The sequence below is a fragment of the Homo sapiens genome, chromosome 10 (genome assembly GCF_000001405.40).
Source record: "Homo sapiens chromosome 10, GRCh38.p14 Primary Assembly".
NCBI classification, from domain to species: domain Eukaryota; kingdom Metazoa; phylum Chordata; class Mammalia; order Primates; family Hominidae; genus Homo; species Homo sapiens.
The window spans coordinates 115,072,372-115,095,937 of record NC_000010.11 but is presented as its reverse complement, the minus strand read 5'-3'; the positions used below and the strand labels follow the sequence as shown (position 1 = coordinate 115,095,937).

General features: G+C 41.4%; 1 protein-coding gene and 1 long non-coding RNA gene across 10 annotated transcripts in view, besides 3 other annotated features; one reads left to right on the top strand and one right to left on the bottom strand.

The window, feature by feature from the left end:
• ATRNL1 (attractin like 1) overlaps positions 1–2,573 on the bottom strand; it is an 855,635-nt gene extending 853,062 nt beyond the window's left edge. For 7 of the 9 annotated variants that reach the window (NM_207303.4, XM_011539587.2, XM_017016035.3 and 4 more), the window contains exon 1: positions 1,895–2,573. In NM_207303.4, the coding sequence (NP_997186.1) occupies positions 1,895–2,187 (293 nt within the window). In that variant the 5' untranslated portion in view covers positions 2,188–2,573. The remainder of the gene's footprint in view (positions 1–1,894) is intronic. The other 2 variants (NR_074088.3, XM_011539588.3) reach the window with 1 other exon arrangement.
• Positions 2,003–2,282: a silencer, noted in NCBI's record as "silent region_2852". NCBI's record gives its function as "represses an Ori minimal core promoter by ATAC-STARR-seq in GM12878 lymphoblastoid cells {active_cell/tissue: GM12878}" and the evidence as "EXISTENCE:reporter gene assay evidence [ECO:0000049][PMID:35858748]".
• Positions 2,373–2,502: a silencer, noted in NCBI's record as "silent region_2851". NCBI's record gives its function as "represses an Ori minimal core promoter by ATAC-STARR-seq in GM12878 lymphoblastoid cells {active_cell/tissue: GM12878}" and the evidence as "EXISTENCE:reporter gene assay evidence [ECO:0000049][PMID:35858748]".
• Positions 2,533–3,042: a silencer, noted in NCBI's record as "silent region_2850". NCBI's record gives its function as "represses an Ori minimal core promoter by ATAC-STARR-seq in GM12878 lymphoblastoid cells {active_cell/tissue: GM12878}" and the evidence as "EXISTENCE:reporter gene assay evidence [ECO:0000049][PMID:35858748]".
• Positions 8,919–23,348, top strand: LOC105378496 (uncharacterized). Its single transcript, XR_946336.2, has 3 exons — positions 8,919–8,942; positions 22,218–22,264; positions 22,687–23,348. It is a non-coding gene; the product is annotated as an uncharacterized LOC105378496 (long non-coding RNA).
• The last annotated feature ends 218 nt before the right edge of the window (positions 23,349–23,566 follow it).

Here is a 23,566-nt window from a genome sequence, read left to right as displayed (position 1 = left end):
AGGACTGCAGCAAATTTTGTCCTCTTTAGACAAACGGAGCAAACCCACCCACACAAAAGCCAATATCCCTACATATAAATCAGGCACTCTCCCTATTTATGTAAAAAAAATGTAAAAAATGGATGAGGCTTTTTCACTGCTGACTACCAGTTTACATGTTCAAAATTCTCTCTTGCTAGGTAAAGACGCTGAATTCTACTGTCATAGCAAACGTTTAAGAACACAAGCAAAAAAAAACAACTAACAAGCAGAATTCATTAAGATCTCTTTCCTCATCTTGAAACACTTTTTAAACTTTTAATCAGCATCTCTCCTAATTTTTTTAAAAAGTATTTTTAAAACTACATTACTATACTACCTTTAAAGTATAAACCCTAGAAAAATTTCAACCTATTGCATAAGTTTCATAAAACTTCACTTTAAGATTTCACTTCCAAAACCTACTAGTTAATTTAAATCATAGACTCTACCTAAAATTTTAAAGTGCCATTTTAAAAATATACATTTTTACATTGAGTTTTAAGGGACATTTATTTTAATCAGTAATAGTAAGTTTTTTTTTAAAAAAAAAAAAAAAGGAAAGTATGCTGTGTTTAAAATTCCAGGAAATTGTCCTAGAATACATTAATAAGGTGAACCAGTCTTACCTTTGCCTTAGAGCCCAAGAGAAATTTCACCTAGATTTTGGCTATCAGCCTAACAATATCAGTAATCTACAATATTCAAGAGCCACAAACCAGCCAGCAAACTTCATATTAAGTATCTAGAAGACTAAGAAGCTGACTTTCTTAATGACTGTTACCTGCATGTTGTTAGAAGCCTGCCCCAATATTAAGTGACTTTTGCTACTCCCCTACACTGTGACCCATTGCTTTTTATATCAGGCAAGAATGTAATAAACACCAACCAGTACGAAGAAAGTACCTTCACCTTAGCAAGCAAACTTCTTAGGCTCCTTGAGCTTCAAACAAGCCAAAGCGATGTTCCCGCACAAAAGCTGACAGTGAATTAACCGATCAGAAAAAAATCCATTATCCTCACCACATAAAAACGTCCTTCTATCTAACCTAAAGTCACCTTTGTATTTCTCAATTCAAGATTGTCCTAGCAAATACAACACAGCAAATTCGTTAAAAGTACACATTCTGGAGTGTGTACTGGCTCCAGAATGTGCCAGCTGATTTGGAATCATAACTCGGCCCTTACTACTGTGTAATCCTGGCCAAGTTACTTCAATGTATCGCCTCGATTTCTCTCCGTAAATCCAGCATAATAATTCTAGCAACTCACAGAGTTGTTGTAGGGAATAAATGAGAAAATTGACATAAAGCGCTTAGAAGAGTGTTTGGCACTTAGCAAGTCCATCATAAACTCTACTTATTAACATCACTATGATGACTAAATAAATGTTAGAAGGGGTCACCTCTAGAGAGAAGAGAATGGGGAAAGAGAGAGGCACTCATAGATCATAACTGAACCTTTACACTTTTGTGAATTTTTCACAATGCGCATGTATTTCATAAGTAACTTGGACAATTTCTGATTTTTAAATATTATCCCAAGAAAATGGTGCTGGGCATCATAACTGATTGTGAAAATGTTCGTGCTGAGCAGCGGATCAGAAGTCGCTGCGGACATCTGGAACGCTCGAGAAATGCCTAGCTCCCCGTTGGTCAGGGCTCCGCGCGGGCCCGAGCTCTCCCGGGGCGCCCCGGGGCTGGAGGGGGCGCGGCGCGGGCCCCACTCTCGCCCGCTCCCGCCGCGCGCTGAGGTTCACTCACGGCCGGGGGATCAGAGGCAGCGACGGGGGCGGGGGAGGCCGCGAGGGGGGCGGGGAAGGCCGCGACGGGAGCGAGGCAGGGCTGGAGGTTCGGGGTCCGGCGAAGGCACTTACTTGAACCTGCCCTGGCAGTGCTGGCACTGGTCCCCCACCCAGCCCGGGTCGCAGAGGCAGGTGGAGTTGACACAGCGGCCCGAGAAGCAGGAGCCGGTCCTCTCGCACGGCTTGGACTGGGACACCTGCGCGTAGAGCGCCAGGTAGAGGAAGCCATAGCACAGCAGCCAGCTGTTCCCGTCCAGCAGCCAGGAGGAGGCGCCCCCGCCGCCGCCGCCCGCCGGCCGAGCCCTCCACACCCCCGGGGCCGCTGGCTGCGGGGTACCAGTGCGGGCCCGGCCCCCAGTCTCCATCTTCCCCGGCGCCCCTGCCCGGCGAGACTGCGCTCGCGGGCGCCGACAGGGATGCTGTTGAAGGGAATTCCGGCCGCAGAAAACCTCTCCGCCGCCGCTTCTCCTCCTCCTCACCGGCGCCCGTCCGAGTCCCGCTCCCCGGTCAGGAGGGACAGATCCCAACCGCCGTCGCCTCCGCTCGGCTGCCTCCAGTCGCACTCGGGCATCGCCACCCAGTCTCCCGACCTTGTCCTTAGCGGGCCGACCCCACAGCCGCGGCGTCCCGGACCCGGCCGGAGGCGGGGAGCGGGAGGCGCAGACTGCGCCCGGCGCTCCTGAGGGGACCTGACCGGCAGGAGGAGGGGACCCCGCGCGCGGCCCCGCCTCGCCCGCGGCCCGCGCCAACTGCCTCGGCTCCGAGCGCCGCGCGCCCAGGAGGGCGGGGGCCGAGCGGGCGCCCCGAAGTGGGCGCGCCCAACGTGGAAGGGGGCGATCAAGGAGGCGGCGGTCAGCCCCGCCTCGCCCGCCCGGCGGTCAAGGGCGCCCCGGCAGCCATTCTGTCTCCGGTGCCTCGAGCCGGCCGCAGCGGCAGCGCCGGGAGCCCACGATGCGTGGGGCCGCCCCCCGCCCTCGCGCGCGCCTACACTCCTCCCCACAGGCCCGGCGCCTTGGTCTCGCCCCGCCCCTGACAGGGACCGGGGACTCCCCCACGCGCGCGCGCCCACCCCGCCTGGCCCGCGCGCTGACTGGAGACAGGCCCCCCAGGTGTGGCCCGCGTGCCCTTCCCCCCGGCCGGTGCGGGCACCCCGGCCCCACCCGCACCCCGCGCCCCGGGAGCCCCACGAATGAGAGATCGACACAGGCTTCGCAGCTTCAGCAGAAAAGAAGTCCTTCCCGTCCGCCGTCTGCAGCTGCAAAAGTGCAACGCTTTTTCCCTAGCGCTTCCCCCTTCCTCCGCCCCATCCTCCTGCCTATTTCTTCTTTTTCTCTTAAGAGAGAAAAACTCCAACAACACACAAAGAGCTGAGCATGTGCAGCAGGCAAAAGCCTTAAAGGCACCGCAGTCCGACCACGTTGTGGGGTCAGCGAGGGCTGGGAGGGGCGGGGATTGGGGACTGCGAGAGGCGCGAGGCGGTCTCCGCGGAGGGACCTCCGAGGGGGAGCCATTGCTGCCTCGGGAATAACGAAGCCCGCGCCCCCAACAAAGAACTGCGAGGCTCCGAGCCCCGCGCTCTCCACCCCTTACAGACGCTGCCTCGAAACCGCACGTCTCTCCTTTTCTGCTTGTCAGTGCTCCCTCCTCCATCTGGGACGATATTCTGCCTTGAAAAATATTGCAGCATCGGGGCTTTTTTTCAGAAGAGCAGAAGTGATGCCCACAAAAGGGCCGTTTTCCTTCCTCAGCAGCACTTTTTCTTCTTCAGATGACTTTCCAAGATTGGCTGGCATATTCTGAGATTTTTGTTTTGTACTTTGGTGCCTTCTCTAAACAGTTGCCTTTTTATTTGACCCCCTTGAGAAAGGAAGCCAAACACACATTGCAGCCATATATCCTCGAGTTACAGCAATGTTGCTGGAGTCCCACCAAAGAACAGGCAGTATGAAAAAGAATTCAAAATCCACCAAAGGCACTTCTCACAGAAAAAAAAAAAAAGAAGAAAGAAAAGTTTGTTGTAACTACATAGTCAAAATATTATTGTTAGGATTCAACTCGTGTTTATTTCGCGTCAGTTCTTTTCATGTCTCTTATCCCCACTTGCAGATGAAATCCTCCATTAACCCCATTTTGCAGATGAGAAAGAGCAACTCAGAAAGGTTGAAATATTGGCCAATGGCAGGTTAGGAGTAATGAACTGAGCTTTAGACACGAGGCCTCTGACTGCTGTGCTTTTTTCACTGCTTCTATTAGCAGATGCTTTGTTCTTCCTTCGGTGAATAAAATATACGTGTTGGCTTGGTTTAAAAATACCTCAGCAGTGACTTAAGGAGGAAAAAATAAAAACAAAGATCCAGAAGGAGTTGGCTCCTTCGCAAGGAAAAGAGCAAAAGGAAAACCACGATTCTCGTTGGCATACAGAACAAATCATAATTTCCATAATTTCAGGGTTTTACCAGTATCAAAAATGTCCTTATCAAACCTAGAATTAGGATGCCCTCTTCTTCCCTTAACATCTTTTCCACATCAGGCTGCCCCTTAGAGACTTCTTGAAATGAGTGAAGAAGCAGAGGAGAGAACACTGCAGACACCAGTTAAAAGGAAGATCCTGTTCTGGATCACATCTTTTCATTTCAATGACTGTGAAATCCAGAAGAATTCTTTCTAGTGTCAGCCATGCATGAACACTGTCTGCTGCTTTTCCATTCTTCTCCATCTGCCAGCCAAAGTCAGCCGCATCTTTCTCACATCTAAGGTAGAGTCGCTTTCAGACGTGGGGAAAGTGGCCAAACTCTTAAAACCGTCAGTGAGTGTGAAGGTAATTCAAAGGGTGCGCTGTAGTCCCTTTGACGAGAGAGATCACAGCTCAGTCACATACTGACTGTAGCCTGTATTTGAGCAGAGCTTGCCCATTAAAAATATACTCATAAGTGGGAGTTGAACAATGAGAACACATGGACAGAGGGAGGGGAACATCACACACCAGGGCCTGTTGTGGGGTGGGGGGCTAGGGGAGAGATAGCATTAGGAGAAATACCTAATGTAGATGACGGGATGATGGGTGCAGCAAACCACCGTGGCACGTGTATACCTATGTAATAAACCTGCACGTTCTGCACATGTATCCCAGAACTTAAAGTATAATAATAATTTTAAAATACATATCTTTTAATTGAATAACCACTATAATCAGCTCAGTACTTCACATTACACTGAAGAACATGCAGCCCCACGGGCCTCCTCTCAACATTGCCTTTAGAATCAAGCTGAATATATTAAATTTATATGAATTATTCTCACAAGGATCTCAGAATTTTCACTCACCTTGTATTTTGTTTCTCTCTCAAACACTTTTAGTCAACACTTACTGAGTAACTATTATGAATTTAAGCAAGAGAAAACAAATATGAATAAAGCATGATTTCTACCCCAGATTAGCTTATCTTCTATCAAGCTCACTAGACTGTGAGCTCATTATACAGTTGAGTGTCATATACTTTACAAATGTAGACACAGAAAACTTAAATTATTTTATATGGTCACACAAAAACTCAATGGCAAAGTTTGCCTAGAATCATGAGTTATGTTTCAGTACCTTCTATGATCAAGAAATGTTAAAGCTCCAACATATTTTCTTTTTTTCCAATTAAGTAGGGTCAGCCTCCTAGAAGTGCTATATCATACTGAAATAATTAATAGTATTGGTAATAGCAGTCATAAATCTAGCAAAAAGGTGAAAATTTACTCCAAAGCCATACTGGGGGAAAATTCACCCTACGGAAGTAGGATGAAACTGTTAAGAATTATCTATTTTAAATTCATCCAAGGGGAAAGATAAGAAAAGACTATTTGTTTTCTTTAGCCTTATATCAGGACCGTTAGATATTTTGAGGTGTATGTTTCATTTCCATTCATACTACTTAACAATGATGTTATAATATGATGGGCAAAAATCTGACATCACATCACCAGATTGTTTAAAGGAAATTTAAGTGATTTTTTAAGAGAACAAGAGAAATGATAGATCCAATATCTTTTGATTGCTACTCAAAAAGTAAAAGATCCTATTTGGGCTAATGAACCAAAGCAGACTCTTTTCAGTTGCTTAATTTAAGAATCTCTGTTCTCTGGTTATTGTTCACCCTTTGGCTTATATGAGGCTTCTGAAAGCAACCAAGATAATGAGAACTACAGATAGCGTGGCCTCAAAAGCTAGAAATGCATTCACTCAAAGGGACCCACAGCGAAACTGGGGCAGTATTCTTAAGACACAAATAGATGATGAATGGTCTGTAACGTTAGACAGTTTAAAAAAACAACCATCAAATTTAGGTACTTATTAAAAAATTATTGATGATATTTAAAATGTTTATATGGCTATGGATCTGAAACACCACCACCGTCCCAATCAAAATCTAACATTCTGCTTTCTCTTGGATTCATTCTTTTCTTCCATCGGTTTCCCTTGCTGTCACAGTTGCAAACACACACATACACTTCTGCCAATTTTTCTACTTAACACATTTCAAACATATTGTTATAAGTAAATCCAAGGAAATAAATCCAAAGATTATAAATTCACTATGCTGGGCTACTACATTCTTTTTTAGCTGGGAAATAAAATGAACATCCTTAAACTTTTAATCCTAAATATTCAGTCTTGTCACCAAAAAAAGTTGATTGCTAATAGCCAATTGCAGAAACTTGTCTTTAGTGAAATCTAATTCAATAAAAATATGGGCTAGGGCTTCCTGATAAACAAAGTAGATCAAGTATGTGCATTTACCTCTGCTCCCTCTGGAAACTCTGCCAACATGATAGGAAAGGTTTTTGTTTTTTGTTTTTTCTTTTAATTTTTTTCAGGTATAAACTCACAATGATAAAGAAAATGAGAAAACAGCCAACTTGCAGATGAGAGGTGACAAGGCATTTGGAAGTGTCAATGAAGGAGAAAAGTGAATTGAGACGTAATAACTAAAACATACACACCATCAGAGATAAGTAACAACAAGAAACAAATCTGTTTCTCCCAAAGATCCCCAGAAAGCCTCAGGACTCAGATGCAAGAGTTACCAGGAAGGCAGAGGTGGGGCTCTAGGATAAAAATAAGGGGAATGGTTGAGAGCAGAATAAGGACCCATACTCTCCCTCTCATCCCAAGAAGCTAAACACTACCCCAAACCCAGCCCTGACAGAGGTTTAATCTCTTGAGAAATTGAATCAGAGGCTCCAGACTTGGAACACCAGGCAAGGTAGAAGGAGGGAGTGAAGTATACAGCTGGAACTTGAGAGACTAAGTGAAAATCTACATAATGAATGATAAAATTTCCCTGCCATCTTTTCCTCCGGTTCCCAGAACATCAATAATCAAATGAATAACCCCCAGACAGAAAACTGAAGGATATTTATCTGCAGACGTTTAATGGTTCCAAGACAAAAGATACTGTCATTTGGCATCTTCCAACCAAATGAAAATCCAGCTTCTGGATCACTATACAGTGAAGCCTGATAGTTAATAAGCTTTGCCTAATCCTTTTTTCCATAATTTTCTCCTAAATAAGGACAGTAAATGTTCACTAGACATAAAAGATAGAAACAAAACAAAGAAAATGAAATTAAAGGAAACAAAGTCAAATGATACGCAAAGATTGTGCACCATAAAACAAAAGTGGATATTCTTTAAAAATAATAATAATAAGGGGACAATCAGAAAACAAAAATATAAATAAATAAGTAAATAAATAAGCAGTAACCAAACTTAAAATGCAATAAAATTTGGGAAAATAAAGTGTAGGAAATTTCCTAGAAATTATAATGAAAAGGTAAAGAAAGTTTCTCCTTTATCATGAAGGAAAAACTAAGAAAATTAGAGAATTCATGAATAGATAGTATTTTAAATTAAGCATTTATACTATGAATGCATGTATTAATATGAGAGTACATTAATACACAACATATATAGGAGCAGACAAAATTTGTTTATATCAGTTCATCCTAGTATTAACATGAGGAAATTTCCCAGAACTAAACTGAACCCCCAGATGAAAGACCCACTGCAACATAAAACACTGAATAAAAAGACTCACACCTGTAATCCCAGCACTTTGGGAGGCCGAGGCGGGCGGATCACGAGGTCAGGAGATCGAGACCATCCCAGCTAAAACGGTGAAACCCCGTCTCTACTAAAAATACAAAAAATTAGCCGGGCGTAGTGGCGGGCGCCTGTAGTCCCAGCTACTTGGGAGGCTGAGGCAGGAGAATGGCGTGAACCCGGGAGGCGGAGCTTGCAGTGAGCCGAGATCCCGCCACTGCACTCCAGCCTGGGCGACAGAGCGAGACTCCGTCTCAAAAAAAAAAAAAAAAAAAAAAAAGACTCACAAATTGAAGGGGGAAAGACAAATGCAATGGATTAGAGGAAGAATAGCATTAAAATTCTCAACAACAAACCTGAGATGTAAGGGAAAAAGTAGATATATAAGGGAAAATTATTTTCAACCTAGAATTCTATACCCAGCCAAGCTATCAGTAAAGTATGAGGATAAAGACATTTAACAGTAAGATATGAGGATAATGACACACAAGCATTTATAAAATTTATCTCCCAGTGTGCCCTTTTTTAGGCTACTACTAGAAAATATAATAAAGGAAGAGACAAAACAGAAGAGAATTGTGCAGGGACATCTCAGGATGACATACAGCTGTGCCCCAGGCCAACAGAATAATCAATCTAACCTGGAACAGAGGGCTAGGGAGAGAGGTATCCATGAAGATCATGGATATGAGTTGATATGATTTGGATCTTTGTCCCCAGCAAATCTCATGTTGAATTACAATCCCCAGTGTTGGAGGTGGGGCCTGGTGGGAGGTTATTGGATCATGGGGGTGGAGGTATCATAAAAGGGGTTAGTACCATCCCCTCAGTGCTATTCTCGTGATAGTGAGTGAGTGAGTTATCATGAGATCTGGTTGTTTAAAAGTGTGTGGCACCTCCCTGCTTCCTCTCTTCCTCTTGCTCCAGCCATGTAAGACATGCCTGCTTCCCATTCTGCCATGACTGTAAGTTTCCTGAGGCCTCCCCAGAAGCAGAAGCCAATATGCTTCCTGTACAGCCTACAGAACCGTAAGCCAATTAAACCTTTTTCTTCATAATTTATCCAGTCTCAGATATTTCTTTATAGTAGTGTGAGAACTGACTAATACATGAGTATTTGGAAATGTTTGGACTTTTGGAAAGAAGATTAACAAGATGTGACACATCTTGGAGTATTGAGGGAAGAAATAGAATAAACACATAAGAATTTGAGAAAATGAATAAAATAAGGCAATTGTTGACTAGAAAAAAAATGTACAAGATGTGATCAATACTTGCTTACATAGTTATAGTAAGGTAAACATTGACCATCAATTTAACCAAAAATTAGAATTACCTATTTTTAAAAGATAGAAGCAGGGAAACAGTAATGTTAAATCCTAATTTTTTAGCAAGAAGTCATTATATGTCCAAATTAATACATCCAGAAATAGCAGTATAATCACACTACATTGAAGAAAAGATTTGAAAGCTTCTTACTCTGGGGCATAGGAAAGAAGGGCAGGAGATGTACATTTTATTATAAGGCTTTTAGTACTCTTTGATCGATTGAAAATTAAAAATTCTAAGACAGATAAAAATAACAAATAAATATGTGCATTCATAATAAAATAGAGAGTCATGGCACCAAAGACTCATAAAAACCTGGGTTTGATTCCTAATTCTGCTGTCTATATGCTGGTTACCCTTGAGTGATCCATTAATGTCTGTGCCCTAGTTTCCCAACATATAAAATTAGAGTAGTCAAATATCTATCAATGTTCATTTTAGGACTGAGATGAGGGTACAAATAGAACATATGAAAGCACCTAGTAAATGATATAAAGCATTAAACGAACTTTGATATTTAATGTTCACCAAAAATTATTATTAGGAAGAGATTATATTCCCATGTAAAGGAAAGGTTTACTGAAAGGGATTTGGGTCAATACACATACATACACACACACACGCACACACACACACACAAACACACACACACACATACACATACAAAAACAGGCAAACCTAGAAGAAGAGGAGATAATTTTAAAGATGGATGTAGCCAAAGTTCCTTATTTTCCAAGGTTCAATAAAGTTAAGTGACTTGGCCAAGATCATATAAGTAAACAGTGGAGTAAACCAAAAAAAAATAAACAGCCAAAGCACAAACCTTGAACCAAAAACTCAGAACCAAATGAAAGTTCACCAGAATGGTTAAAGGCATAAATTGAAAGCCCAGCCCAGTCTGTAACACAGCAGATTATCAATAATATAATCTGCTATATTGCTATATTAACTAGCTGATTACAGTTCCTGCCTAAATATGGAGAGAAGAGCTGGAAAGAAAATAGGCATGCTTTAAAAAGAAAAATAGCAATTAGACAAGCAGAGTCAGCAACAGAATATTCCTCTTGAAAATGAAGATGTGAAAATTGGATTCACCAAACCAGGAGAGAGAGTGAGAAAAAGGAAAGGAAACAAATGAAGAAAGGGCATGGCCTAGTGATGGACAAAATGTGTCAAGAAGTGCCTGAATTTGGAACTCCTGAAGCTATTGCAAAACAACTAATAGGCTTCCCCGTTTTCTCCTCCTTGGGATAATGTTGAAAGGGATGAGGACATGAGGAAGATAAAAGGGTCAGGGACCTTTCCTCCATTCCATACAGGAAATCATTTGCTGGCACTTTTCTTCATAAAAGGCCAGGGGGCGGGGAGTTGCTGGGACTCTTTTTAAGAATACAGTTCTGTGAATTAAAATGAACAGAAGTTCAATTTGAATCAAGTAGCAAAAAAGAAAATGTCATACTATTTTATTTTCAGATGTCATAAATTTTCCCTAAGAGATAATTCTAATTTCTCAAGGTAACTCTTATTAGGAATCGCTGCATTGTGTTGTATCATCTTAAATCTAAATAAACCAATTTTAAGTGTCATTGAACATAAAGAGAAGCACTTTTGATTTTGAGAAACAGAAAGGATCGTTTTGGTTGTGAGAACATCCAACAACTGCTACAATAAGGCATCATTCACATGTAGATAAACCAGGTAAAAATTTCTATAATCCTTAAATTGAGGATTGTTTCATGTGCTCTCTGTTTAAAGAAAAAGTCAGTCACAGGAAGTACTTAAAAAACAAAAGCTTCCAAGCAAAATAAACAATTCATAAGAACAATAACATACTGGCTTTTAGAAAGCTGCTTGGGGTTCTGACACAGGAAAATACGTTTATGTTTACAAGGAAAGGAGCATGAAAGAGAATTATGGACCCTCTCAAAGGAGAGACAAAGCTATCAGGATGCAACAAGGTTTTCTTGAAGAGCTCAGAGACAAAAAGGAACCACAAAACAGCACACACATAAAAAAAGAAAAATATCTGACAAATGATAGCCAGGCCCCACAAATCCCGATAACACGACATTCCACTTATTAAAACCATCAGTCTTGGAAGACTTCAGGCACAGTAATTCTGAAAATGTACACAAGTAAATTAAAACCAGGCTTATGATTCTTCTCATTTTAAGTCCCTCACTTGTACCCCTCTGCAAAAGCTGATGTGAAATTTAAAATTAAATGAAAAAAAGTCAACATGAACCTTGCTGATTTTAAGCCAGAGCCCCAAGTTCTACATTTTTAAATTGGAACGTAGTCTAAAAGTCTCTCCGCACAGGAAATGGAAGCATACTTTCCTAGGAAAATTTGTTCCAGGGTAAACAGAAAATGCTATATCTACAATTAGGAAGCATGTGTGACAATTTTATTTATTAAGTTATCTGAACCACTTGGTAGCAGATATTTTAGGACATGTTTTATGGCCATGTTCTTTATTACTGGACACAATCCTTGATGGAGGTAGCAGGAGGTAGTGCCAAGAGAACTGGACAAAGAGCCAGCAGACCCAGTCTCAACAACCAAACAGGGCATGCCTCATTCACCCTGTTTCTTTATTCATAAAAGAGCAAAAAATATTGAGCATCCCTGAACATTGTTGGAAGAATCCAAAGTCCAAATAAGATAAGATGTCAAAATTATTTTAAAAACAGTGAAACCTTATTGAACTGTGTCAGCTTCGATTCCTTTCTCTGCACAAGGACCCAGTGGGGCCATGTAACACTGGTGAACCACAGAGCAAGCTCAATAATTCCTCTGCAGCTACAGCCCCATCGCCTGTCACTGGGGCAGGGAGTGGTGGGGGAGCAGCAACTTCACAGCCCATTGCTTTATGCCTAGGCAAGGTAACTGACCACCTGTGTAGGGTGACTGAAGTGACCATCGGAAGACCCCAGAGAACAAAATACACTGCCCCCACACTCTTGCTATAAACTTGGAACTCCAGCTAAGGATTCTGTCCTTTAGGCTAAAGGTTTAGGGGCACTTGTTCCATTGCGAAAGGCTTTGAAAGGCTAACACATTTTGTTTGTACCAGTTATTAACATCTTACCATGAATGACTTTGTACCTATTCTTGAGAGTAGTTTTCATAACGAATATAAGAAAAATATAAAGATATATCACTTCTACTGCCACCAACAACTCCCCCCAACCCAGCGCACACAGTGTGGACATTCTTTGTTACCTGGCCTCTTAGAGGAAACACTATCTGAGAATCACTAACATCCTCTAGTGATCTTAGCATAATATCTCATCCATGGAGGGAATGCTTATTTTTACAAGAATACCAAAAGAGGGAATGAACACAAAGGAGTTAAATACTAACGGTGAGATTTGAGACAGAGTGGCTCCTGGATGAAAGATTTGACATACATCTCAAGTCAGTTATGGTAGGTAGCTGCTTACATCCCCTAAGTGGAGGTCAAAACTAGCAGTGGAATTTTGGCATCTCTGACTACACAGCGAATGAATCTAAGGGGAGAATTAAAATGAAAGGTTAGGTCTTCACTGGGAAACACTCTTCCCAAACTCAAGTCTGGCAGATATCATCAGCAACAGTTCTGCTATTTTTAATGGCTAGGAGGGTGCTTAAGGAAATGTCAGTCTCTAAGATTATCCCAACTCTCCTCTGCATAAATAATAACATCATTACTGACAGATTCTTGGATCAACCGATCTTCTTTTAAACATGCAGACTAGTCAAAATGAAATACTTATTAGAGAAAGATTGGAAAGGGTAAAACTGAAAATGATCACTCAAAATTAGAAAAAAATTAGCCTCATTAAAAGGAGAAAAAATATGGGCATTCTGAGCTAGCCAGACACCAAAAATATGTATGAATAAACAGCAAAGCAGCAATACTGTGTTGGTAATATGGCCTTTGAGGATGCAATGACTCAAAGGAAACCACCAGAGAAGCCAGTGCTAACCCCCAGTTCATGCTCAGAGGCTTGTAGATCACCAGCAATCCTGGCAGGTCGACAATATTATACCAGCTGGGAACATTTCCTCTGGCTTATGCTCAGTGTATGCCCTGAAGTCTCAGGACTTTCTAATGCTCATTATTTTTGTTTTAATTCTGGTGCTGGAAACGCTATCCTCATTCCCATGAATGCTTAATCTTTCTGAATCATCCTAAACTATCTGTAGCAATTATCCTATGATTGAAGTTCTAAAGTTAATTAAGTTTGAAAAAAGACTCATGAGTTTTAAATTTTTCTGCCTTTTCATTTTATCAAGTGTATTTTTATTCCTTTATTATTAGAAAATGTAAATAAGCATCCAATCATCCTTCTCTTTAACATTTATTATTTTATAGCCCTTATCAGATTTCTACTGTTTTTCTCCCAACTTAAAAGTCCTAGTCATTCACCTTTGGGATCTATCTTGCCACTGTAATTTTTATGACCTCCTTTACACTACTTCTTGTCTAGCTCAGTCATTTTTAAGATGAAGAAGATAAAATGGAACAGGCCATTCAAAATTAGGATGATTATATACCCTGTAAAAATGAATATAAATGTATCATATTGTTTTCTATAACCCTTTTTAGCCAGAATAGTTTCTTATTTACTTAATTATCACTGCTCTTTAAAAAGATGTATTCTTTGAACTGTCCATAATGGTGTCTACATGCTTTTCCTGAAGGGTTATAACTAAGTCAGTACCTGTGAAGATATTATTTAAGTTATTTCCTTCTGAGATGCATTAGAATCATAGACTCTCGAGTTAAATTTCTGCCTTTGGTGTGTTCATCTATCTGGTTAAGTAAAATACCTAGATGCTTCTAGATTTCTAACTCCTTTACCATCTGCACTAGATAATTATGGTGGGAGACAGGCCCTTAACACTTTCTGAAGAAAACTGTCCGGCACATGTCCTCCACTGATAAAGCCCACTTATGCAGCTGTTTTTTTTTTGTTTTTTTTTTTTTTTTTGAGACGGAGTCTCGCACTGTCGCCCAGGCTGGAGTGCAGTGGCGGGATCTCGGCTCACTGCAAGCTCCGCCTCCCGGGTTCACTCCATTCTCCTGCCTCAGCCTCCCAACTAGCTGGGACTACAGGCGCCCGCCACTACGCCCGGCTAATTTTTTGTATTTTTAGTAGAGACGGGGTTTCACCATTTTAGCCGGGATGGTCTCGATCTCCTGACCTCGTGATCCGCCCGCCTCGGCCTCCCAAAGTGCTGGGATTACAGGCGTGAGCCACCGCGCCCGGCCCTGCAGCTGTGTTTTGTATACATGATTCTGCTCTCCTCAGCTGCTGATTAGAACAGAGGCAAGCACCAACCTGCGGGCAGCCAGTCCCTAGGCTCACTGGCAGTTTTACAAGTTGATTGGCATGAAAGTGCCAATCAAACACTGGGATGCACTGGGACAACCAAATTCTCACTTTGGGGAATTTGAATTAAGAAATACAGAAAGGGCCAGGTGTAGTGGCTCATGCCTGTAATCCCAACACTTTGGGAGGCCAAGGCAGGCAGATCACTTGAGGTCAGGAATTTGAGACCAGCCCGACCAACATGGTGAAACCCTGTCTCTACTAAAAATACAAAAATTAGCCACGTGTGGTGGCATGTGCCTGCCTGTAGTCCTAGCTACTTTAGAGGCTACTTGGGAGAATCGCTTGAACCTGGGAGGTGGAGGTTGCAGTGAGCCGATCGTGCCACTGCACTCCAGCCTAGGAGACAGAGCGAGACTCTGTCTCTCTCTCTCTCTCTCTCACACACACACACACACACACACACACACACACACACACAGAAAGAAGTAACTAAAATCAAGAGCTAAGGCTAAAAATTTATGCAGAAAAAGAGAGATCATTAGATAGGGAGGGGCAAAAAAAGACCTGAGTAACAGTTACAAGAAGGTAAAAATTATGAGTAAGAAGAACTTCTGGATTAGTAGCAACTTATGACGTGGAGACATAGAGTAGAAGATGAAGAGATTTCTGTCTACTGGTGATTAGACATAGAGAAGCAAACACTGGAGAGTTTTTGAGTCATATTGCTGGCTAAGCAGTAGAGATTCATGAACTCTTGGTGCTGAGCATTCTAGAGCTGCCTTGGATTCAAAATGGCTATTGAGTTCTAGTTTCAGTCTCTGTTTTTTTAAAAAAAATTATTTTAATTAATTAAAAAATTTTTTTGAAACAGGGTCTCACTCTGTAACCTAGGCTGGAGTTCAGTGGTATGATCATGGCTCACTGCAGCCTCAACCTCCTGGGCTCATGCAATCCTCCCATCTCAGCCTCCCAAGTAGCTGGGTATATAGGCACATGCCACCATGCCCAGCTAATTTTTTTTTTTTTTCTGTTTTTAAGATGGAGTTTCACTCTTGTTGCCCAGGCTGGAGTGCAATGGTGCAATCTTGGCTCACCACAACCTCCACCTCCCTGGTTCAAGCGATTCTCCTGCCTCAGCCTCCTGGGTAGCTGGGATTACAGGTGTGTGTCACCACACCCGGCTAATTTTGTATTTTTAGTAGAGATGGGGTTTCTCCAAGTTGGTCAGGCTGGTTTTGAACTCCCGACCTCAGGTGATCCTCCTGCCTTGGCCTCCCAAAGTGCTGAGATTACAGGCATGAACCACCACCCTGGCCTGGAATTGTGGTCTTAAATAGAGAAATTGGGAAGTGCCCACTGATAAAATGACATCAGAGCAGAAATCCAGAAGGAAGGGGTGGGTGAACCAGACAGTTGGAGGAAGAAGGTCCTAGAGGAGAAGAACAGCAAGTGCCAAGACTGTGAGCTGCAAGTGTGTGTGGTGTGTTTGAGGAGGCCAGAGCACCTGGAGCAGAGTGAGTTGAAGGACAGCATAGCAGGAGATGAAGTTAGAAAGGAGGAGACTAGGGGTAGATGACATAGGGTCTTATAGGCCAATGTAGAGACTTTTAGTTCCATGACAAGCCATTGGAAGGTTTTGAATATACCTACATGTTCTGGCTTACCATTTTAAAGGTTTGTAGGCAACCATTCTGGCTGCTTCGTTAAGATTATACTGTAGGGGAAACAAAGGTGGAAGAAAGGGGACAAATTATTAGGAAGCTATTACAATAATCCAAGAAAGAGATAACAGTGGCTTGGACCAAAGTGGTAATTGCAGAGTGAAGAAAAGTGGTGAAAGTCTAAGTATATCTTGAAGATAGAGGCATCAGAATGTGGTGATGGATTGAATGTGGGGTGTGAGAAAGAGAAGAGTCAAGGATAACTCCCAAATTTTTGGCATGAGCAATTGGAAGGATGAAATTCCTATTTACTGAGATGGGGAAAGCCATGGGAGAAGCAGGTTTGGGAGGGAAGATTAGAACCTCACTTTTGAACATGACAAGTTTGATATGCCTATTCAAAATCCAAGTGAAGATATCGTATAGGCAGTTGGATATTAAAAACTGAATGCAAGGCAGTTCCAAGATGGCCAAATAGGAACAGCTCCAGTCTACAGCTCCCAGCATGAGGGACACAGAAGACGGGTGATTTCTGTATTTCCAACTGAGGTACCGGGTTCATCCCACTGGGGCTCGTCGGACACTGGGTGCAGGACAGTGGGTGCAGCGCACTGAGCATGAGCCGAAGCAGGGCGAGGCATTGCCTCACCCAGGAAGTGCAAGGGGTCAGCGAATTCCCTTTCGTAGCCAAGCAAAGCTGTGACAGACGACACCTGGAAAATTGGGTCACTCCCACCCTAATACTGTGCTTTTCCAACGGTCTTAGCAAACAGCACACCAGGAGATTATATCCTGCGCCTGGCTCGGAGGGTCCCACGCCCACGGAGCCTCGCTCATTGCCAGCACAGCAGTCTGAGATCGAGCTGCAAGGCAGCAGCGAGGCTGGGGCAGGGGCGCTCACCATTGCTGAGGCTTGAGTAGGCAGTTGGATATTAGAGGCTGGAGGTTAGGAGAACAATCGGGGATGGAGATATAAATTTGGGAATTATCAGTATATAGAGTTATTTAAAATATGTTAAATGATGACGCTGGATGAAATCACTCAAGTGATGATAGAGGAGAGAGGTCAAAAGGTTATATAAAATAATGCATATAAAATCTGAATACAGTAGATATAGACTTCTACAGGTTTGGCACACTTCCCAACTCCCTTGTAAAAATTAGGTATTATAACCTGAGTAGTCAGATGGCCAGAACACTGACTGGGAATTTATACTAGTGTCCAGAATCACTGTGTGTTTTAAAAAATTGCACATGTGGATATGGCAGTTCTTTCCCCCACTGTTTCTCTAATCAAGTAGCCGATCAATAAGAGAGCCACTTTCTCATGAAAAAGAAAGAGGGAAACATCATCATTTCTCTTTCCTCTTTGATCAACTGTGCTTGGATTCTCTCATCAGTTTATTTTTTTTTTTTAATCTCAATTGTCATGGAGGGTTTGGGCTTAGGAAGAGAGAAAGATTTCCCTCTTTACCTCTTATCCTGACCTGTGGACCTTGCCTCTAAATCCTGTAATCCAGTCCATTTTACCAGCATATTCTGCAGTGAAGTTTAGGGCACAAGCTCAGATAATAATAAAGTGATACTTTCATTGCGCCACTGCACTACAGCCTAGCAACAGAGCAAGACTCCATCTCAAAAAAATTAAATAAAAAATAAAAATAAAAAATAAAGTGATACTTTGATTCCCTATCTTCCATTAGCCCTTACACGTATATCTATCCCACCTAGGTTACCTCAAGGGGAATGGTGGCTCTACATTGAGGTAGAATTTTGGCATTCCTGGGCCCCACACCTTAATAGTATCAAATTAGTATTAACCCCAATCAGTCAGCACTCAATAAGCATATGTTCTTTTGCCTTAACATGCCAATAATTCCTATTAGAGAGACACTGATCCAGACATCAAAGGGAAGATTTGTTAATAAATAGAAGGCTAACTATTCCCTTAGTCCTTCACTGTGACACCAAACCCACGCTCAACTTGCCTGCAAGGTTAACACCAGAGTCAACACAGAAAGAGAAGAATGATAGAGGTTCAGGTGAAGAAATTATAGGAAAAGTAGGGAAGTGGATATATGCAGGTCTGCTAGCTTGTCTGATAATGTATATCTAGTTACTTGCACATAAGAATGTGGGCAAATCTAGAAAAAGAGGTGCAAGGATCATGGAAGAAAGGTATAAGGAAGATTCTGAGGCATCACTCTGTAGAAATCTTCCATCAGGAGCTATAATGGAGTGGACGCTAGCAGCCAACAGAAGGAAAGCAGGCTCCCGCTGCTCCAGCCATTTCTGCTATGCTTACCTGCTGACTCCCGGGACAGATATCTTGCTGCCTTTGAGGTTAATTCACCAAACTCTGAACTGTCTGAATTCTGTGGAAGCAGAATATATTGAGGTCCTGACCACGGTGTCCAGCCCTGCTGTAGAACTATGTGGATCATTTTCAGACTTGATTCAATTTTCCGTTTTATAGAGTCACTCACTGCAAGTTTTGATTCTCAATGGGCCACCAGAGAGAGAAAGCAAAATATGTTAAAATGATTTATCAACATGTCCTGTATGTGGAGCCATTCCAATGGCTCTCATTTATATCATATACTCATCAGCCTCAGTCCTCCCACCCATCTTCCCACCCAGAGACTCAGCCCTGTCCCAGATGCCAGACAGGAAGTACTTGAGCAGCCTCAGCCTGCCATCCTAGAGAGGTTAGTTATGTTGATTTAGAAGCAGTGTCCCAGCAGTGATCACTAGGCCCCCACACTGGGCCCTAAATGCCACCCTACTTATTATGTTGAGATGAGTCCTAATCAGAACTAACAAGCTCATACCAAATGTGATCAGTTGATAGATGGGATAACTACAATATCCAACTAACTCATAGAACATCTGCATTTCAAATTTAGTTTTAAGATCATGTATAGTTGAGCCTGCTAAGACTTTACCTCCTACCCTGAAATACCACAAATTCCATCATCTTTAGTAGGTTCCACTGATATAACTACCTAGGACCTGTAGCAAAGATTGTTTGACCAAAGGAAAGCTGACATATTTGCTCTTGAGCCTAGAATGCAAATGTATGTCCCAGGCAGGACTCTGAGTCCTCCCTCTGAATGTGAAATCTAACTACTCTTGAGAAGTTTCTAGTCCTCCAAGGTTCTCCTGGTCCCATCTTTACTACCTGTGACTTAGTAACAATAATAAGACCATGTTTGTTTATTTTTCCTGTTTTAAAAGACAAAAAAAACTGCTATATGTCCAGAATAAGAAATTATGAAGAAAAGGTAGTGTGTGGAATAAAATGCAAATGTTTTCAATGTACATTAAAATTTTGATATATTGATCTCAGATTTAAGAGGTTAGATGTGGGTGGTTCCTTGCTCTTCTCTCTCTCTCTTTTTTTTTTTTAATAAAAAGGTCATTTACTTGTGAAATAATGGATTTTGACTCATATTAATGGCTTTTTAAAAAAATCAAAATTCAGCATGGAAATTTCTATGTAACCAAAAGACATCTTGAGACTAGTAAGAACATTTCAATTATCTGAACTTTGACTTTTACACAGGTGAGTATTCAGTGATTTCAAGGTCCTGTTAAATGCATTCTGTTTAGTATTTCTGTTTTCTGACACCATAGTTTAAAACGTCTTTCACAAAAAATGCCTAATATAAGTAACATTCTTTAAATGCAATTTAATTTCATCTATTTGAAGAGGATTGATAAACACAACATGCTTACCAGAGATTTCTACATTTTGCTACTACTGTCAGCTCTTTGCTTGTTGGTCAGCCCTGTGGTGATGACATTGGACATAATTACAAATAATACTTAAGAGTATCCAGTTGATTGATAACATTAATATTTAAGATCTTTGCATCTTTGTTAACACCGAGAACATTTTCCAGCCATGTAGGAGTTGCCCCAGGACTTGGCTAAAAATAACATTTTATATCAAATTCAACAAACAAGAAGAATATTTTGCTATGCTAAAAATATAGATAACCAGAACTTTTCCAATAAAGTTTATAAAAATCTCCAGATGTGAACTTGACTTTAGAAGACAGTCTGTTGCTAGTTTTAATGGATTTGATTTGTTTTGCTTGTTTTACTGCAGAAACAAATTTCCGCTGGCAATCATGATTGATATTTTCTTGAACTAATTTTTTCTTAATTTTTTCTGTGAAAGGAGAACTATTTTAATTGACATTTATCACCAGACTAAGAATCATTTCAGTTCTAAAATGTTGGAAGTAACATTTCCCATCTGTTTCAATAACCCAACTGGCTAATTACATTGCCAAGAATAATTTGTCACAAACAGAAAGACCATTCTTTGGGGTTGGGGGGAACTCTTACTGCTTGATCTTACATCACATACTGATTAATGAGCAATAATAGAAAACTTATGATACTAATTTATGCCAGGAGTTTATTCTATGAATGAGATTCTGAAAGGAATAACAGAAAGCTGGTTAATCATTTACATTACTTAAAAAGAAGGGATGGAGTCTCTAGTTCATATCAGAGAAGGTACATATATTTACCTTTATATCCTGCCTTTAAGGTGTGGACCACTGAGGTATGAATGGCTCAGCCTAACAAGGAGGAGATAAAATGCAGGCAGTGTGTCTGCAGTATCATCACTATCCTCTGCGATTTTTAACATTGCAGGTGGGCAATCCACCAGTGTGGTGGTGAAGAGTGTGGGCTCGGACACTAAACTACCTGTGTTTGAATTCCAACTTTAGCATTTACTTGTTTGCCAAATTATGTAGATTTTTGGTATCTTGAATTCTTCATCTGTAGAAGGGGTACATTAATAATAATAGTAACTGCCTCAGAGTCATTGAGAATTAAATCAGCTAACACATTTAAAGTTCATTCAATGTTAGTTATTAATCTATTATGATCATTATTAATATTAGTATACTACTTGGGTATTAACAGCTTTCTGGTCTCAATTCTGGCTACATATTGGAATCAACTGGGAAGCTTTAGATTTAAAAAAAAAAAAAAAAAGGACAAAAAAACCCCAATGCCCAGGAGCCACCCGAAAGAGACTCTAATTTAACAGGTCTTAGTTAGGGCCTAGAAGCACCCCCTATCCCCCTGCCAAATATTTTTTTGTGTTTAGTTGCTCAGGAGTTTTCTAATGTACAGCCAGGAATCTTAGCAAGAAGAGCTAAAAGTCAGCAGGGTGAAAACCTTAGGAACAAGTATATTAACACCAGGAAAGGCAAACAGACAGGAAAGACTGAAGACCAGGACAATAGGATAAGTTAGGGTGGAAGGGCCTCTCCACTTTGTCCAGGGAGAGCCATGCTAAAGTGCTTGCTTCTTAGGGCTCATTCTGCCATAATTATTTCTTTATGAGGCCCTAAGATCAGGCGTGACAACCAACTTTTCTGGTGACCTCTGCCCTTTCCTGTGTCTTCAACCACATGTCTTACTTTACCTTTTGGTGGCGCCCCTATTTTAAAAGCATCAGAACCCTTCTTTGAATATTTAGTTTGTAAATTCCAATGAGGAACCCCATTTTCTTAGTTATAATGTATACCTCAGACAGTTTGAATGTAGTTATGGTGATGAATGGTTTCAGCTCAAGAGACTCTTAGCCACTAAATAGATGTGTTTGTTCTTTGGAAGGAATAAGAGGCTCCAAAATGTGAGGATGAACTAGGCTGTTGTTCTTGTTCCATAATAGCTTCAAAAGCTCTCTTTACTTTTAACCAAAAAGAGAAGAGGAGGGAGAAAGATGAGAATAATACCCACATTCAAAGAGTCAGAGAAATGGGCCATGCAGTAGCAGAAAAAAGTCTTACATTTCTGATGCTTTATAAAAACCTGAAATTCTGAGTGATCTTATCCTTTCATTTCTGTCTTTGCCTCGCATATTCATTATAGGAAAATTCCAAATGGTAGTGAAAAGTACAAAAAGAACTTGAAAATGACTCATAATTTCAACACTTGTTTTCTTCTTTTGCTTTTAGTTCATAAAATGAAGAATAAAAGTCTACCTTCCTCCATGTCTCCAAAGGTAAACTCTTGCAAAAATGCTTTATATTTATGTGTATGTATACATCTTAGCCCTATCTTATGTTTCAGTTACTATGCTAAGCAATGCATGGGAATGACCTCATTTAATCTCCACAATAACCGTTGGAGGTAGATCTATTAATATTTTTCTTACCCTCATTTTAGAGATGAGGAAACAGAGCCTTAGAGAAGTTGCCTTACCCAAGTTGAACTCCCATTTATTCATTCGCTCTGCAAGTATTTATTGAGTCCCTACTATGTGCCAAGCATGATGCCTTAGCATAGGGGATATAAGAGTGAATCAGCCAGACACACTCATAATCCATCTCTTACCTATTCTACTGCTGTCACTCAGGTCTAAGCCACTATCATCTCTAACAGTTTCTAACTGGTCTTCCCGCTTCTACCCTTATTCCCCTGCAGTCCATTCTAAACACAGTCACTCCTCTACTCAAACACCTTTGATGGCCGTTCATGTCACTCAGAATGGAATGAAACCTGGAGCTCTGCCGGTGATCAATAACATGCTGCCTGATTTGTGCCTCCTGTACCATCTCCTCATCTCCTGCCACCCACACCCTCATGCTCTGCTGTCATTCATTACCTTGGCTTCCCAGATGTCTCTTGAATATACCAGGCATGTTCCTGTCTAAGGGCCTTTGCATTCCCAGTTCCTTCAGCCTGGAATATCCTTACCCCATGAAATGGCTCAGAACATGCCACCTCAAAATATGCCACTTTGGCATAATGATTATTTTGAGCTGAAGGCGCTTGAGAAACACTAGGGGCAGGAAGAGCTCTCAGACTTCCCCTTTCTACCAAAAAGCAGGTCATAAAATTTCCCATGAGAAAGGTGCCCTCCTTGTGCCAGGAAGAGAAGAATAGTATCACCAGAGATGACTGGAGTTATCATCGAAATGGACCTGTAAAAAAAAACTAAAATCATCCTCATTTTCCACTAGTTTCGCCTGTATATCCCTTACTCCCACAATTTACTGCTTCTAGCCCAAGGCCTTTTGTCTTGTCACATCTCCACAGTTTATCATTCTTTGTGTAAAAAATGTATATAAGCTTTGGGGCATAAAGTCTTCTTTGGGTCTTCATTTTTCTCTGAGGACTCCCATGTATACATAAAAACATTAAATAAATGTGCATGCTTTTCTCTTGTTAATCTATGTTGTTTTAATTCTTAGGTTAGCCACCAAACCTAAGAGGGTAGAAGGATGTTTTTCCTTCCCTACACCAAAATACTCACATGGCTCACTTCCATACCCCCTTGAAGACTTTGCTCAAATGTCCCCTT